The sequence below is a fragment of the Homo sapiens genome, chromosome 5 (genome assembly GCF_000001405.40).
Source record: "Homo sapiens chromosome 5, GRCh38.p14 Primary Assembly".
NCBI classification, from domain to species: domain Eukaryota; kingdom Metazoa; phylum Chordata; class Mammalia; order Primates; family Hominidae; genus Homo; species Homo sapiens.
Window position 1 is genome coordinate 177262925 of NC_000005.10, and position 12342 is coordinate 177275266.

The following is a 12342-nucleotide window of genomic DNA, read 5'->3' on the forward strand; positions in this document are numbered from 1 at the left end:
TAAAAATGCAGTTTCACTGAGCCAGATTAAATTGTGTATTCAGTGAAAGGCTGATGAAGGATTCAAAAGAATGCAACCTTTTGTCTTTTACCTACTTATGACCTGGAACCCCAACCCCCTATCAGAACCAATGACAATGTTACACATACTGATGTCTCTTATCTCCCTAAAATATATAAAAGCAAGCTGTACCCCCACCACCTTAGGCACATGTTGCCAGGATCTCCTGAGGTTGTGTCATGGACGTGATCGTCACCTTGGCAAAATAAACTTTCTAAATTGGTTGAGACTTGTCTGACATATTTTGAATTCACATCACTAAGGAGATTTGTATTATCAGGTGTATGTATATGCCAATAATTCTGTAAAAGAAGAATTTTCCTTACTTGAGATATATTGTTTCTGTAGCCAAAGACTGGAGTTTAGTTAATTCTGGAAGCTTTTTTTACTTAGTTGAAATCTGACAGCTAGTACACAGTCAATGGATTGGTAAAACTGCTGCCACCTTAGTATAAACCAAGGCACTACCTCCAAACCAATACAAGTAAGCAGTCATCGTGTTCTGTATCATCACCTACTCGCAGTAAAAGCATGGCAGTTTCACCTTAGAAGTTTCTTGAAGTAAAACACCTTAGTTTTATTATATCTTGTCCATGAAGTCAACATTGTTTTTCTATTCTCTGTGATGAAGTGGGAAGTACACGTAAAGCAGTTTCTTTGCATACTGATGGTTATCTTGAGTTAAAGCACTCATGCAACTGAGTTTCAAGCTGAACTATCCACATTGTTCATGGAACACCGTTTTTAATTGTAAGAGTTACTGATAAACTATGGTTATTCATGCTTGGATATTTGGCAGACATTTACTTGAAAATGAACAACTGTGAGCCTATCAATTCAAGAAAAAGAACTGCAAAATAATGGCGAATGATAAAATTTGAGCTTTTAAGTGAAAATTAAAATTTTCGTAAACTATTGTCTGCTACCTTCAGTTTGACAATTTCTTAGTACTTACTGATTGGATCATGGTAGTATTAATAAATGTGATTTTAAAAGTATAATGAAATAGGCCATTTAGAAGATGCATATGACTCAATGAACCAATTTTTTTTTTTTTTTTTTTTTTTTTTGAGATGGAGTCTGGCTGTGTCGTCAGGCTGGAGTGCAGTGGCGCTATCTTGGCTCACTGCAACCCCCACCTCCCGGGTTCAAGCGATCCTCCTGCCTTAGCCTCCTGAGTAGCTGGGACTACAGGCATGTGCCACTATGCCCAGCTAATTTTTTGTATTTTTAGTAGAGATGAGGCAATATTTTTAATATAGCTAATGCATGATGTTAAAAACTTTGCATATGTAAAAGATGCATTCAAAATAGAAGACAGATCAATGAATTTTAGTGTAGTCATTTTAAGTTTAGTGACATAGTTTCAGTTTCCACATTGCAACTATACACTGTGGAGTTTTAGCATAGTATCTAAGAATGAATATCCACAGTTCTGAACAGGTTATTTTAGCACTCTTTTCCAGCAATATATCTCTGAGAGGCCATACTTTCTTCACGTATGTCAAACAAATAACATATTGCAACATAATTGTTCTTCAGACTTGTTTTTTAGCAGCAGACACATTTCCAAATGTAATCTTACTCTGAATCTGAGCTTCACTATACAATACAGACAAAAGTGAGCTTTTCCAGTTGAAGTAGGAGTCTGATCTGAAACACACCCCTGGCCCCAACAAAAACAAATAAAACTCCCACTCTTATTTTAAGAGCTTGTTGAAGAGAATTATTAAGTAAAGGCCCTTTTGGCCGAAACTGCCATCTTCCTGTAATTCGCCAAAATGACAAACACAAAGGGAAAGAGGAGAGGCACCCAGTACATGTTCTGTAGGCCTTTTAGAAAACATGGAGTTGTTCCTTTGGCCGCATATATGCGAATCTATAAGAAAGGTGATATTGTAGACATCAAAGGAATGGGTACTCTTCAAAAAGGAATGCCCCACAAGTGTTATCATGGCAAAACTGGAAGAGTCTACAGTGTTACCCAGCATGCTGTTGGCATTGTTGTAAACAAACAAGGGCAAGATTCTTGCCAAGAGATTTCATGTGCATATTGAGCACATTAAGCACTCCTAAGAGCCAAGATAGCTTCCTGAAACATGTGAAGGAAAATGATCAGAAAAAGAAGCCAAAGAGAAAGTTAACCTGGGTTCAACTGAAGCACTAGCTTGCTCCACTCAGAGAAGCATACTTTGTGAGAACCAATGGGAAGGAGTCTGAGCTGCTGGAACCTATTCCCTATGAATTCATGGCATCATAGGTGTTAAAAAAAATAAAAGACCTCTGGACTGTTAAAAAAAAAAAGCAAAAGTCAGCATGGGAATAAATTATATATAAAGTGCCAACAGAAGTATGTTTATAGTAAGAATTTTTTTTGTTTCCCAGCTGAAGATTTATTGGCATAAATGCAGCCATCTAAAAACATAAGTTATGAAAAACAGTCATGATGTGCCCTCCCCATCCCCCCAGCCCAGGCCCCTAAAACCTCCTCTGGGGGAGGGAGGGAGAGAGAGAGGAAGGGGGAGCCCCACAACCGTCTAGGAATGCTCAGCCCCTGGGCCCGTGCAGGGCGGGAGAGCCGGGCCTCAGCACATCCTGTAGTCTGTGGAGCAGGACAGGTCGCACAGATGGCCCCTGAAATCTAGGTTGATGGTGAAGTCCCGGTCCCAGTTCTTGGCGTTGGGCCGCATGCCGATGGTGCCGAAGATCTCCTCGCCCGTCTTCAAGGTCAGGTAGTCCTCCATGTAGAACACCGTCTGCTTCCAGTGCGTGTACAGGGACTCGGGTATGGTGGAGAAGCCGGTCCCTCCGGTCCTCTTGTGGCAGTGCGTAAACTCGATGTTGAAGTAGGCCACCTGGGTGTGCACGTAGTCATTCTGCTTCACTTGCAGGCAGAACGGGGAGGTGAAGGTCAGGTCTTCCACCTTGACGGTGTAGATGTCTACCTCCTTTATGAGGCAGGCGTTGGTAACCAGCTGTTTGAGGTCCACCACATCCACTAGGGTTTCCTTGATGGCCACATCTTTGATGCAAGATATATCGAAGCCATAAACGTTCTCCCACCAGTGGATCTTGTAGTCTTTGTACTGCCGGTCCTCGGTGGCCGTCACATACAGTGTGGCCCGTTCTGGGAAGATGAGGCTATTGGGCGCCAGCCACTTGTCCGGGCATAGAGCACAGTGTTGAGCATGGACTCGTAGAAGAGGCAGTTAGCCCATCCACTTGCTGATGATGATGTTCACCTTTTCCACCGGGAGCTCTATCTCCTCCACCTTCCCCTTGGTGATGGTCACCAAGTGGTCTAACTTGTTGGCTTTGACAATCTTCACCGCATAATCAGAGCTACTGGAACACTCGATGCCGATGACCTTGCGGGCCCGGCCTTGGCGGCGAACATGCAGAGGATGCTTGTGTCCGAGCCCACATCCAGCACCACCTTGTCTTTAAAGAGGTGGCGGTTGTGAAACATGGAGTTGCCGAAGTGGGCGTAGGAGTCAAAGTAGTAATCTTTGGACGTCATGCCCTCGACGTTCGGCTTCTCGCTGCTTTCCGCCTGGCCACAGGACACCTCCATGATGCAGTTCACGACCTCGGCGGCCGCCATCTTCACCCGCACCTACTCCTCTTCCGGCCGCCAAGACCCCCGCCTTTTTCTATAGTAGGATTTTAAGAGGTGAAAGAAGCACAGTGAGAACAAGATTAACTCGGATATATTCTTTGCTAAGGCTTTACTCCCCACTTCAGGGTAAAACTTGGAATTACATGTTTGAGTCTAGCATGTTTGAATCATGCTCATTTCTGGCAAGAGCGTGGCTCATTTCTTTTTGGCAACAAAATAAAATGCCTGCCCGTCTGCTGAAACTACTGTGTTTTGAAAGCATTTATATATTTATTTATTTGAGGCAAGAGCCTTGCTGTCACCCTGGCTGGAGTGCAGTGGTGCTGTCTTGGCTCACTGCAACTTCCGCCTCCCAGGTTCAAGCAATTCTCCTGTCTTAGCCTCCCGAGTAGCTGGGAATACAGGCATGTGCCACCACGCGTGGCTAATTTTTTAGTAGATAGGGGGTTTCGCCCTGTTGGCCGGGCTGTTCTCTAACTCCTGACCTCAGGTGATCCACCTGCTGCAGCCTTCCAAAGTGCTGGGATTACAGGCCTGAGGCACTGTGCCCAGCCGAAAAGTTAGTAGTTCTAAAAGGAGGGAAGGAACTAACCATATGGAGATACTACTTATGTGTCAGACGCTACTAGGTAATTTATTAGCTAGGTGAATCTTCAAACAGATGTGGTTATTGTTTATTAGAGAAAACTCCTTACCGCTGAGGAAATTATAGCTCAGCAAGGAAAGTGAATTTCCCAAGGGCCTGTGGTCCTAGAGCTAGAATTCCAACCTGAACCTGACGAGAGTTAAATAAAGCTTATGCTGTTTATACTCTGGTCATTATGTGTCACTGATAATGTTTTTATTTAGTATATCTTTTAGTGAAGAGAAAGAAAATATATATATATATGTGTATGGATGTACACATACATGACTTGCAGTCTTGTGATCTGAATGCCACATTTTTTTATTCCCACAGGAGGCAGCCTTCTGTGCTGTGATTCTTGCCCTGCTGCTTTTCATCGTGAATGCCTGAACATTGATATCCCTGAAGGAAACTGGTATTGCAATGACTGTAAAGCAGGCAAAAAGCCACACTACAGGGAGATTGTCTGGGTAAAAGTTGGACGATACAGGTAAGCCTGAAGAATAGCACTCATCTCTTTTACCATCCTCTGTTTCTTGAGACCTCTCAGATACAATGCTTAACGTATTTCTAATGATCTACTTAATTACTCATGGTACTCCTCCCCTCTTCTTCTTGATTTTTTTCCTTATAGGAAGAGAAACCTAACTTTATGATTTACAATTATAGGAATAATACATGTTCTCTGTCGAAATTTTTTTTTCTTTTGTGTATTTTGTGAAAAGTTTTTTTTTTTTTTTTTAAATGAAAAGACAGTAATAATCTCACAAGGCAGGCGCATTGTTAACATTTCGGCATATGTACTCCCAGACGTACCAATACGCAGTTATGCCCCCCACCATCCAAAATAACTGTTTTTACAGATTATACTCTGTTATGTGTCTTGGGTTGTTTGTTTTGAGACAGGGTATCCTCTGTCACCCAGTCTGGAGTGCAGTGGTGTGATCATTGCTCACTGCAACTTCAAACTCCTGGGCTTAAGGGATCCTGCCGCCTCAGCCTCCTGAGTAGCTGAGACTACAGGTACATGCCACTGCACCCGGCCACTTTTTCTTTTTTAAAATATTTTGATTGAACATCACACACCGGGAACTGTTGTGGGGTGGGGGGTGGGGGGAGGGATAGCATTAGGAGATATACCTAATGCTAAATGACGAGTTAATGGGTGCAGCACACCAACATGGCACATGTATACATATGTAACAAACCACGTTGTGCACATGTACCCTAAAACTTAAAGTATAATAATAATAAAATTAAAAAATATATTTTGATTGAATATGGAAAGCACAAAGGATGTAACATGCATGACTTTAAAGAATGACAAAAGTGGCACCTGTGTATGTACCTCCCACTTAAAGAAATAGAACACTGTTGGTACTTTTGAGGTTTATTCCATGCCCTGATTCCATTCTCTCCTACCCCCAGAGGTAACCACTGTACTCAATTCTAGGTTTTTCATTCCTTCGCCCTTCTGTGAGAGTTTGTTTTCTTTGCTGTGTTTTAGACCTTTATGTAAAGGAATTATTGTTGATACATTTTCCTGCAACTTTTTTCATTCACTTTTATGCCCCTGAGATTCATCATAGTATTGTATAGTGGTTCATTCATAGTTCACTGTTCCTTTATGTAGTCACATAATGTCTAGTTCACTTATCCATTTTCCTGTTTGGACTGTGAACATTTGGTCAGTTTTTCTTGGTTTATATACTTGGGACCTTGAATATAAGTATATACTTATATACAAGTATATATTTGGTTTATATACTTAGGGCCTTCTCTAGGGCATTCTCTGGAGTAAAGTAGGTAGATAGAGGTTTCCAGCTTTAATAGGTAGTGCCAAATTGTCTCCCTAAAGTGGCTGTATAGTAATTTACATTCTTTGATTTTGTTTGTATGTGTTTGTGTTTTGATTTCTTGGTGCTGTTCTCCCATATTCCTACTAATTATTGAAGGTTTCCTTTTTAAAGACCAAATTGTATTTTATTTTGTATAGTGTACCATGGATAATACTATTATTTTCTTGATGTTGAGCATTTATACTTTTTCCAGTTTTTCCTTCTTATAATGCTTCAGTGAATGTTATTGTCATAACTCTCTGTTCCTATATCATTATTTCCTTTAAGTAGAATCCTTGAAGTAGAATAATTGAGTCTAAGGGAGTGCGCGCCTGTGTGGGAATGTGGGCAGATGTTTTCCAGCTTCTAGCACATACGACTTGTTTGTGTTCTAGTTAGGTTGTAAGAATGCCGTAAGATGGACTTTAATGTGGACAGACAGACATTGCTAATCCTTACTTTTATATGAGTAGGTTATTTTCCTAATGCCTTGCAGCCTTCTAGAGGTTTTCCTTCTCCTTTTCACCTTTCCCAGGTGGTGGCCAGCTGAGATCTGCCATCCTCGAGCTGTTCCTTCCAACATTGATAAGATGAGACATGATGTGGGAGAGTTCCCAGTCCTCTTTTTTGGATCTAATGACTATTTGTGGACTCACCAGGCCCGAGTCTTCCCTTACATGGAGGGTGACGTGAGCAGCAAGGATAAGATGGGCAAAGGAGTGGATGGGACATATAAAAAAGGTAACTTTATCCTTTTTGTTTCTCAGGCAAACACAGACCTCTGTTACCTGAGTGTCTGATCTGTTTTAGAATTCACATATGCTCCATTTTGAAACTGCCTTTGTCCTCTCAGGGCATTATCTGGCTGCAAATACAGTATTTTGCAAGGAAGTTGACCCATGTAACTCATTATTTTTGAGCCTTAACCTTTACTTAATTTGAATTTCCTTGAGCTTTTTTTTGACTTATCAGTTGTTTTGTCAGCATTCCATCAAATAATGGAGTTCTGAAACTATTTCATAGAAGAAACACTTCAGTTTGCTAGACAGAGGCTCAGATCTCTAGCAGAGCTACATTTGCTCCAAGGAGTCTTGTCTTGTCTTGTCTTGTCTTGTCTTGTCTTGAGCTCGTTGGGAAGAAGTAAAATTCACCAGATATTGTAGAACAAACTAGTAAAGGTCAAAGCATAAATGCTCTGAATCAAAATAAAGTTTTGTAAACTGGCCTAGCAATGAAGGCAGGGTGCCCTGTTATAAGCAGAACTAGTTTTACTGCTTACCAGGTGGTCCAATCAACTTCGAACCCGGTTTTCTCTTACCATGTAATGGAGAAAGTTTGCTCTTAGAATACAGTGGGATTATAAAAAGTGTCCCTGCAGAGTACATAATTGGTATCCCCTTAGTGGTAATTACCTTCTTCCTCTAGCTGTCCTTTGAAAGATAATATATCCCTTGCTATTTAATTTATTTGGTACTTAAAGTACAAATGGTTCCCAACTCAGAATGGTCCAACTTACAGCTTTATGATGATGCACTTCCATTATGTTCCTCAGCTTATGATGGGATTACATCCAGGTAAACCAATTGTTAACATGAGGAGCATCTGTGTAAGACTTTGTCTATAGGGTGAGATGAAAAGGGATTCTAAGCAAGTGACATGGAAGAAGATTCTAAGCAGGTAAAACTTCCTGGTTAGGGAATGGGAGTAATGTCGATAGGGAACAAGTTTAACAAAGGTTCTGTTTGCCACATGTTATTTTAGTAGCTCCTCACTTACCCTGTTTGTCTTGTGGTTTCTGTACATAGATATGGGCTGTCTATCAGTTCTACTGCTAATACAAAAATACATAGTACTGTGCTGTTAGTACTAATACTTCAGGAGCTGGGGTCTTGAGTCTTGTAATCTCAGGTGGTCAGGGATAAAGTCGCCAGTATTTTGGCCTGCACAGAGCTGGCCACCACTGAGACTGGGGGAGAAGGCGGAGTATAAGGAATACCGCAGGTCTGAGCCTGCCTAAGCTCTGAGATTCTGCCTTAATCAGGGGGTTTCTAGGTGCCTCTGACTTCTTCGAGCTTGTATTTTTGCAGGAGAATCTGAAATAGATACCAGCAGTCGAAATACCTGCCGGGATTTTGGTATTATTAATATTGTGGCAGAAGTGTGTATTGTATATGCTGTGGGAACAGAGCAAGAAGAAGCTGGGGAGCAATGTTTGGAAGTCATGAATGATTACTAAGTGACTTTGAGGAATGAATCATAATAATAATAGTTAGCATTTTTGTTTGCCAGACCCTGTTCTGTGTTTATTTTCTGCTTTAAGTGCTTATGATAACCCTATGAGGTGGATACCATCCTGATCTTGCAGATGAGGAAACTGAGGCACATTAATGTTAAAGTACTCGCCTAACATATCAGTACCAGTAAGTGATAGAGGAATGTTTCTGACTCTTATAGTAGGGCCAGAATCTAACCTCTACACTGACTTTGAAGAAGGAAAAGGACTTAAAATGTGATACATTTTACCAAGAAGGCATCACATGTGAAAGCACGTGTTGAATCTATTAATAAAATCCTGAGTTAGCAACCTCCAAGTATTTGGTACAGTTTAAGCACATGGTTGGGGGAGTGTTGGGCTATTTTCCTGAAAGGATGAAGATCTAACTAGATCCCTAGTTAGAGCAGAGTTTTAGAAACTTTAGCCTGGGACATTGTTGGGACCATTAAAAGGTGAGAGGCTGCAAGTGGGAAAATCAGTGAGATGGCTGTTTTAAGTAGTTTGGGGCAGAAATGACGAGACTCTGCTGGACACAGTGGCTAAAGCCTGTAATCCCAGCACTATGGGGTCAGGAGTTTGAGACCAGCCTAGCCAACACATTGAAACCCTGTCTCTACTAAAAATAAAAAAAAATTAGCTGGGCATGGTGATGTGCGCCTGTAATCCCAGCTACTCGGGAGGCTGAGGGAGGAAAATCGCTGGAACCCGGGAGGCAGAGGCTAATGCCACTGCACTCCAGCCTGGGTGACAGAGCAAGCGAGACTCTGTGTGTCCACCCACCCCTCCCCGCCCGCCCCACCACCATCACCACCAAAAAAGAAAGAAAGAAAGAATGAGACTAATGGTGAATTGTTCATGGGGATGGAGAATATGATTTATATTGGATAGATGTTAAGGAGGTAGACTAGGACATGCTGAATAATGTTCTAGTCTACCTCCTTAGAAGAACACATTTTAGGAAAATTTAGATGATTCTCCTGGAAAGAACACATTTTAGGACAATTTAGATGACTCCATGGAACACATACAAACTCTGGTAGATGGCTACAAGGAAATGAAGAAAAAAGGATAGGTCAGAGGGGAGAATTTCTTTAAAGGATTGACAGACTTGGGGAAAGGCACAGAGAAAGTGGGAAGAATGGGATTCTCAGAGTTTTTAATGTGGGTGAAGAATAAGGAATTACAGTTTTAAGTGCAGAATGAGAATCTTAAGATTTTGTTGGACTTTTCAGATACTGCAATCTTTTAAACATGAGAAAGTACAGGGGCCGGGCACAGTGACTCATGCATGTAATCCTAACACTTTGGAAGGCTGAGGCAAACAGATACCTTGACCTTAGGAGTTTAAGGCCAGACTGGGCAACATGGCAAAACCTTGTCTGTACAAAAAAATTAGCCTGGCATGGTGGTGCATGCCTGTAGTCACAGCTACTTGGGAGGCTGAGGTGGGAGGATCACTTGAGCCCATAAGGTCGAGGCTGCAGTGAGCTGTGATTGCTCCATTGCACTCCAACCAGAGTGTTAGAGTGAGACCCTGTCTCAAAAAAAATAAAGTACGGTACTTGAGTGTAGATTAGCTATGAAGATCTGTGTATCATTAGAGCTAATAGTTTATATTTACACAACAAGTCTTAGGATAAGAGGCAAGAAGGAGAACAAAGCTTCAACTTTGACTTTCTGCCAGAGGAGAGTGAGCACAATATCTGGGGCACCTAAGATGTAGCATGTTTCCGAAAGTGGGAGGTTTAGGACTGAGGCAAGAAAGGCTTAAAGGCAGTGACTTTGCTAAGCAGATGAAGCGTAGTTGTTAGGAGATGGCATCTGTGGGCTTTCTAAAGTCATTTAGTTGTTTATTGTTTTCTCATCTAACGCACAGTTGTCTAATCTTTTGGCTTCCCTGGGCCACACTGGAAGAAGAATTGTCTTGGACCAAACATAAAATACACTAACAGTAACAATAACTGATGAGCTAAAAAAAAAAAAAAAAAAAAAGTCCATGCATAATTTTTATGATATCCGCCACCACAGATAAGCAAAAAAGTTCTCGTATTCAGATGGATGGATGCCAGTGATCTAAAGGGTGATAGTCTGTATTGTGCCATTTAGTTCTGGATTATGTTTTGTCTTAATACTATGTCTGAATACCCTTTGGACTACATTACCTGTTTGAAAATAGCTGTTATGTGTTTTCTTTTTCATATAGCATTGGTCGATTTTTGTGTAAAACATGGAGTTTCTCCAACTTAAAGGGGAAAAAGTAAAAAATAAGTGAATAAATAAGTAATTCCACCCAGAGATTTTGAAGTGACTTGTGCTGTCTGTTTTCATAGCTCTTCAGGAAGCTGCAGCAAGGTTTGAGGAATTAAAGGCCCAAAAAGAGCTAAGACAGCTGCAGGAAGACCGAAAGAATGACAAGAAGCCACCACCTTATAAACATATAAAGGTGAGGAGAAAATCTTGGGGGACCTTCTCTAGAAGAGAAATGGAATAGCTGGCTCTTCCCACTCTGTTCATGACAAGAACGGAAGCACAAGCATAGTTCGTTTTAGGTAGAGGTATGAGCTTAAAAGAAGATCAGAAATAGCCGGGCACGGTGGCTCACGCTTGTAATCCCAGCACTTTGGGAGGCCGAGGCGGGCGGATCACCTGAAGTCAGGAGTTTGAGACCAGCCTGGCCAGGCAGGTGCCTGTAATTCCAGCTACTTGGGAGGCTGAGGCTGGAGAATTGCTTGAACCCGGGAGGCAGAGGTTGCAGTGAGCCGAGATCGTGCCACTACACTCAAGCCTGGGCGACAGAGTAAGACTCCGTCTCCAAAAAAAAGAAGAAAAAAAGAAACAAGTACCAGAACACCATTCCTAGCGCATTGCCAGGATTCCCAGTGTCAGGAGAATTGATTTTAGGTGGACCTAACCTTTAACCTACCTAGTGAAATAGTCATCACCATTATCATCTGGGTCCAGTGGAGCCTTTGTATTTTAAACATTTTTATGTCATTTATATGAATAATTGACAGACATAAAAATAAAGAGACAGTGGAGAACAAATGTATTAGAAATTTTAGTGTTATGTTGTTGCTAAAATAATTGCAGTTTTATCATTACTTTTAATGGCAAACCTCAATTACTTTTGCACCAACCTAATATTTACTAAATCCTTTTTACAAACCTCTTTTTATCAGATAAGTTAGTTGCGATGCTCAAATATCATAAAACATGAAAGAATATTGTTAGGCCTGTTGAGAAAAGGAGATTACCCAGGTTGTTCTTGTAAAACATCTTTGATGGCATTGTTCCTGGATGAGAATACCCTATTTCTTTTTTGTTCTTAGAAATGCATTATTTGTTCACTTATCCTTTGTGTGTGTGTGTGTGTGTGTGTGTGTGTGTTGTTTTTTTGTTTGTTTGTTTTTGAGATGGAGTCTCCCCCTGTCTCCTAGGCTGGAGTGCAGTGGTGCAATCTTGGCTCACTGCAACATCCATCTCCCAGGTTCAAGCAAGTCTTCTGCCGCAGCCTCCCGAGTAGCTGGGATTACAGGCGCACACCACTATATGCGGCTAATTTTTGTATTTTTAGTAGAGACGGGGTTTCGCCGTGTTGGCCAGGCTGGTCTCGAACTCCTGACCTCAAGTGATTCACCCGCCACAGCCTCCCAAAGTGCTGGGATTACAGGCATGAGCCACCACGCCCGGCTGTGTGTTTCCAAAGACTGATAATCTGAGATGCTACTTGGAGACTAATTTGACCACCATCTTGAGAATCTAGTATGTTTAAGTTTGTCTCAAATATTGGATCGAGCATAGTTAAACTGAAAAACTTTCGTTGTTTGTCAGAAATTCAGATTGAACTAGATGACTTGGATTTTTATTTGCTAAATCTGATAACCCTACCGAAATCAGACCTTCAAGATCGTGTCTCCAGTGTTTT

At 41.5% G+C, this 12342-nt stretch overlaps 1 protein-coding gene and 2 pseudogenes across 12 annotated transcripts in view, besides 3 other annotated features; 2 read left to right on the forward strand and 1 right to left on the reverse strand.

The window, feature by feature from the left end:
* Positions 1 to 12342, forward strand: part of NSD1 (nuclear receptor binding SET domain protein 1) — a 168416-nt gene that overhangs the window by 131127 nt on the left and 24947 nt on the right. For all 12 annotated transcript variants that reach the window (NM_001409301.1, NM_001409304.1, NM_001409305.1 and 9 more), the window contains 3 exons: positions 4638 to 4794; positions 6678 to 6883; positions 10748 to 10860. In NM_001409301.1, coding sequence (NP_001396230.1) covers positions 4638 to 4794; positions 6678 to 6883; positions 10748 to 10860 — 476 coding nt within the window. The remainder of the gene's footprint in view (positions 1 to 4637; positions 4795 to 6677; positions 6884 to 10747; positions 10861 to 12342) is intronic.
* Positions 1802 to 2350, forward strand: RPL21P60 (ribosomal protein L21 pseudogene 60; annotated as a pseudogene).
* Positions 2233 to 3125: an enhancer, noted in NCBI's record as "H3K4me1 hESC enhancer chr5:176692158-176693050 (GRCh37/hg19 assembly coordinates)". NCBI's record gives its function as "activates a minimal SCP1, AML or CMV promoter by ChIP-STARR-seq in naive H9 embryonic stem cells {active_cell/tissue: H9 hESC(naive)}" and the evidence as "EXISTENCE:reporter gene assay evidence [ECO:0000049][PMID:30033119]".
* PRMT1P1 (protein arginine methyltransferase 1 pseudogene 1) lies at positions 2441 to 3714 on the reverse strand (annotated as a pseudogene).
* Positions 3126 to 4017: an enhancer, noted in NCBI's record as "H3K4me1 hESC enhancer chr5:176693051-176693942 (GRCh37/hg19 assembly coordinates)". NCBI's record gives its function as "activates a minimal SCP1, AML or CMV promoter by ChIP-STARR-seq in naive H9 embryonic stem cells {active_cell/tissue: H9 hESC(naive)}" and the evidence as "EXISTENCE:reporter gene assay evidence [ECO:0000049][PMID:30033119]".
* Positions 6518 to 7717: an enhancer, noted in NCBI's record as "MED14-independent group 3 enhancer chr5:176696443-176697642 (GRCh37/hg19 assembly coordinates)". NCBI's record gives its function as "activates an origin of replication core promoter dependent on BRD2, BRD4, P300/CBP and CDK7 cofactors, and independent of MED14, by STARR-seq in HCT116 cells {active_cell/tissue: HCT116}" and the evidence as "EXISTENCE:reporter gene assay evidence [ECO:0000049][PMID:35650434]".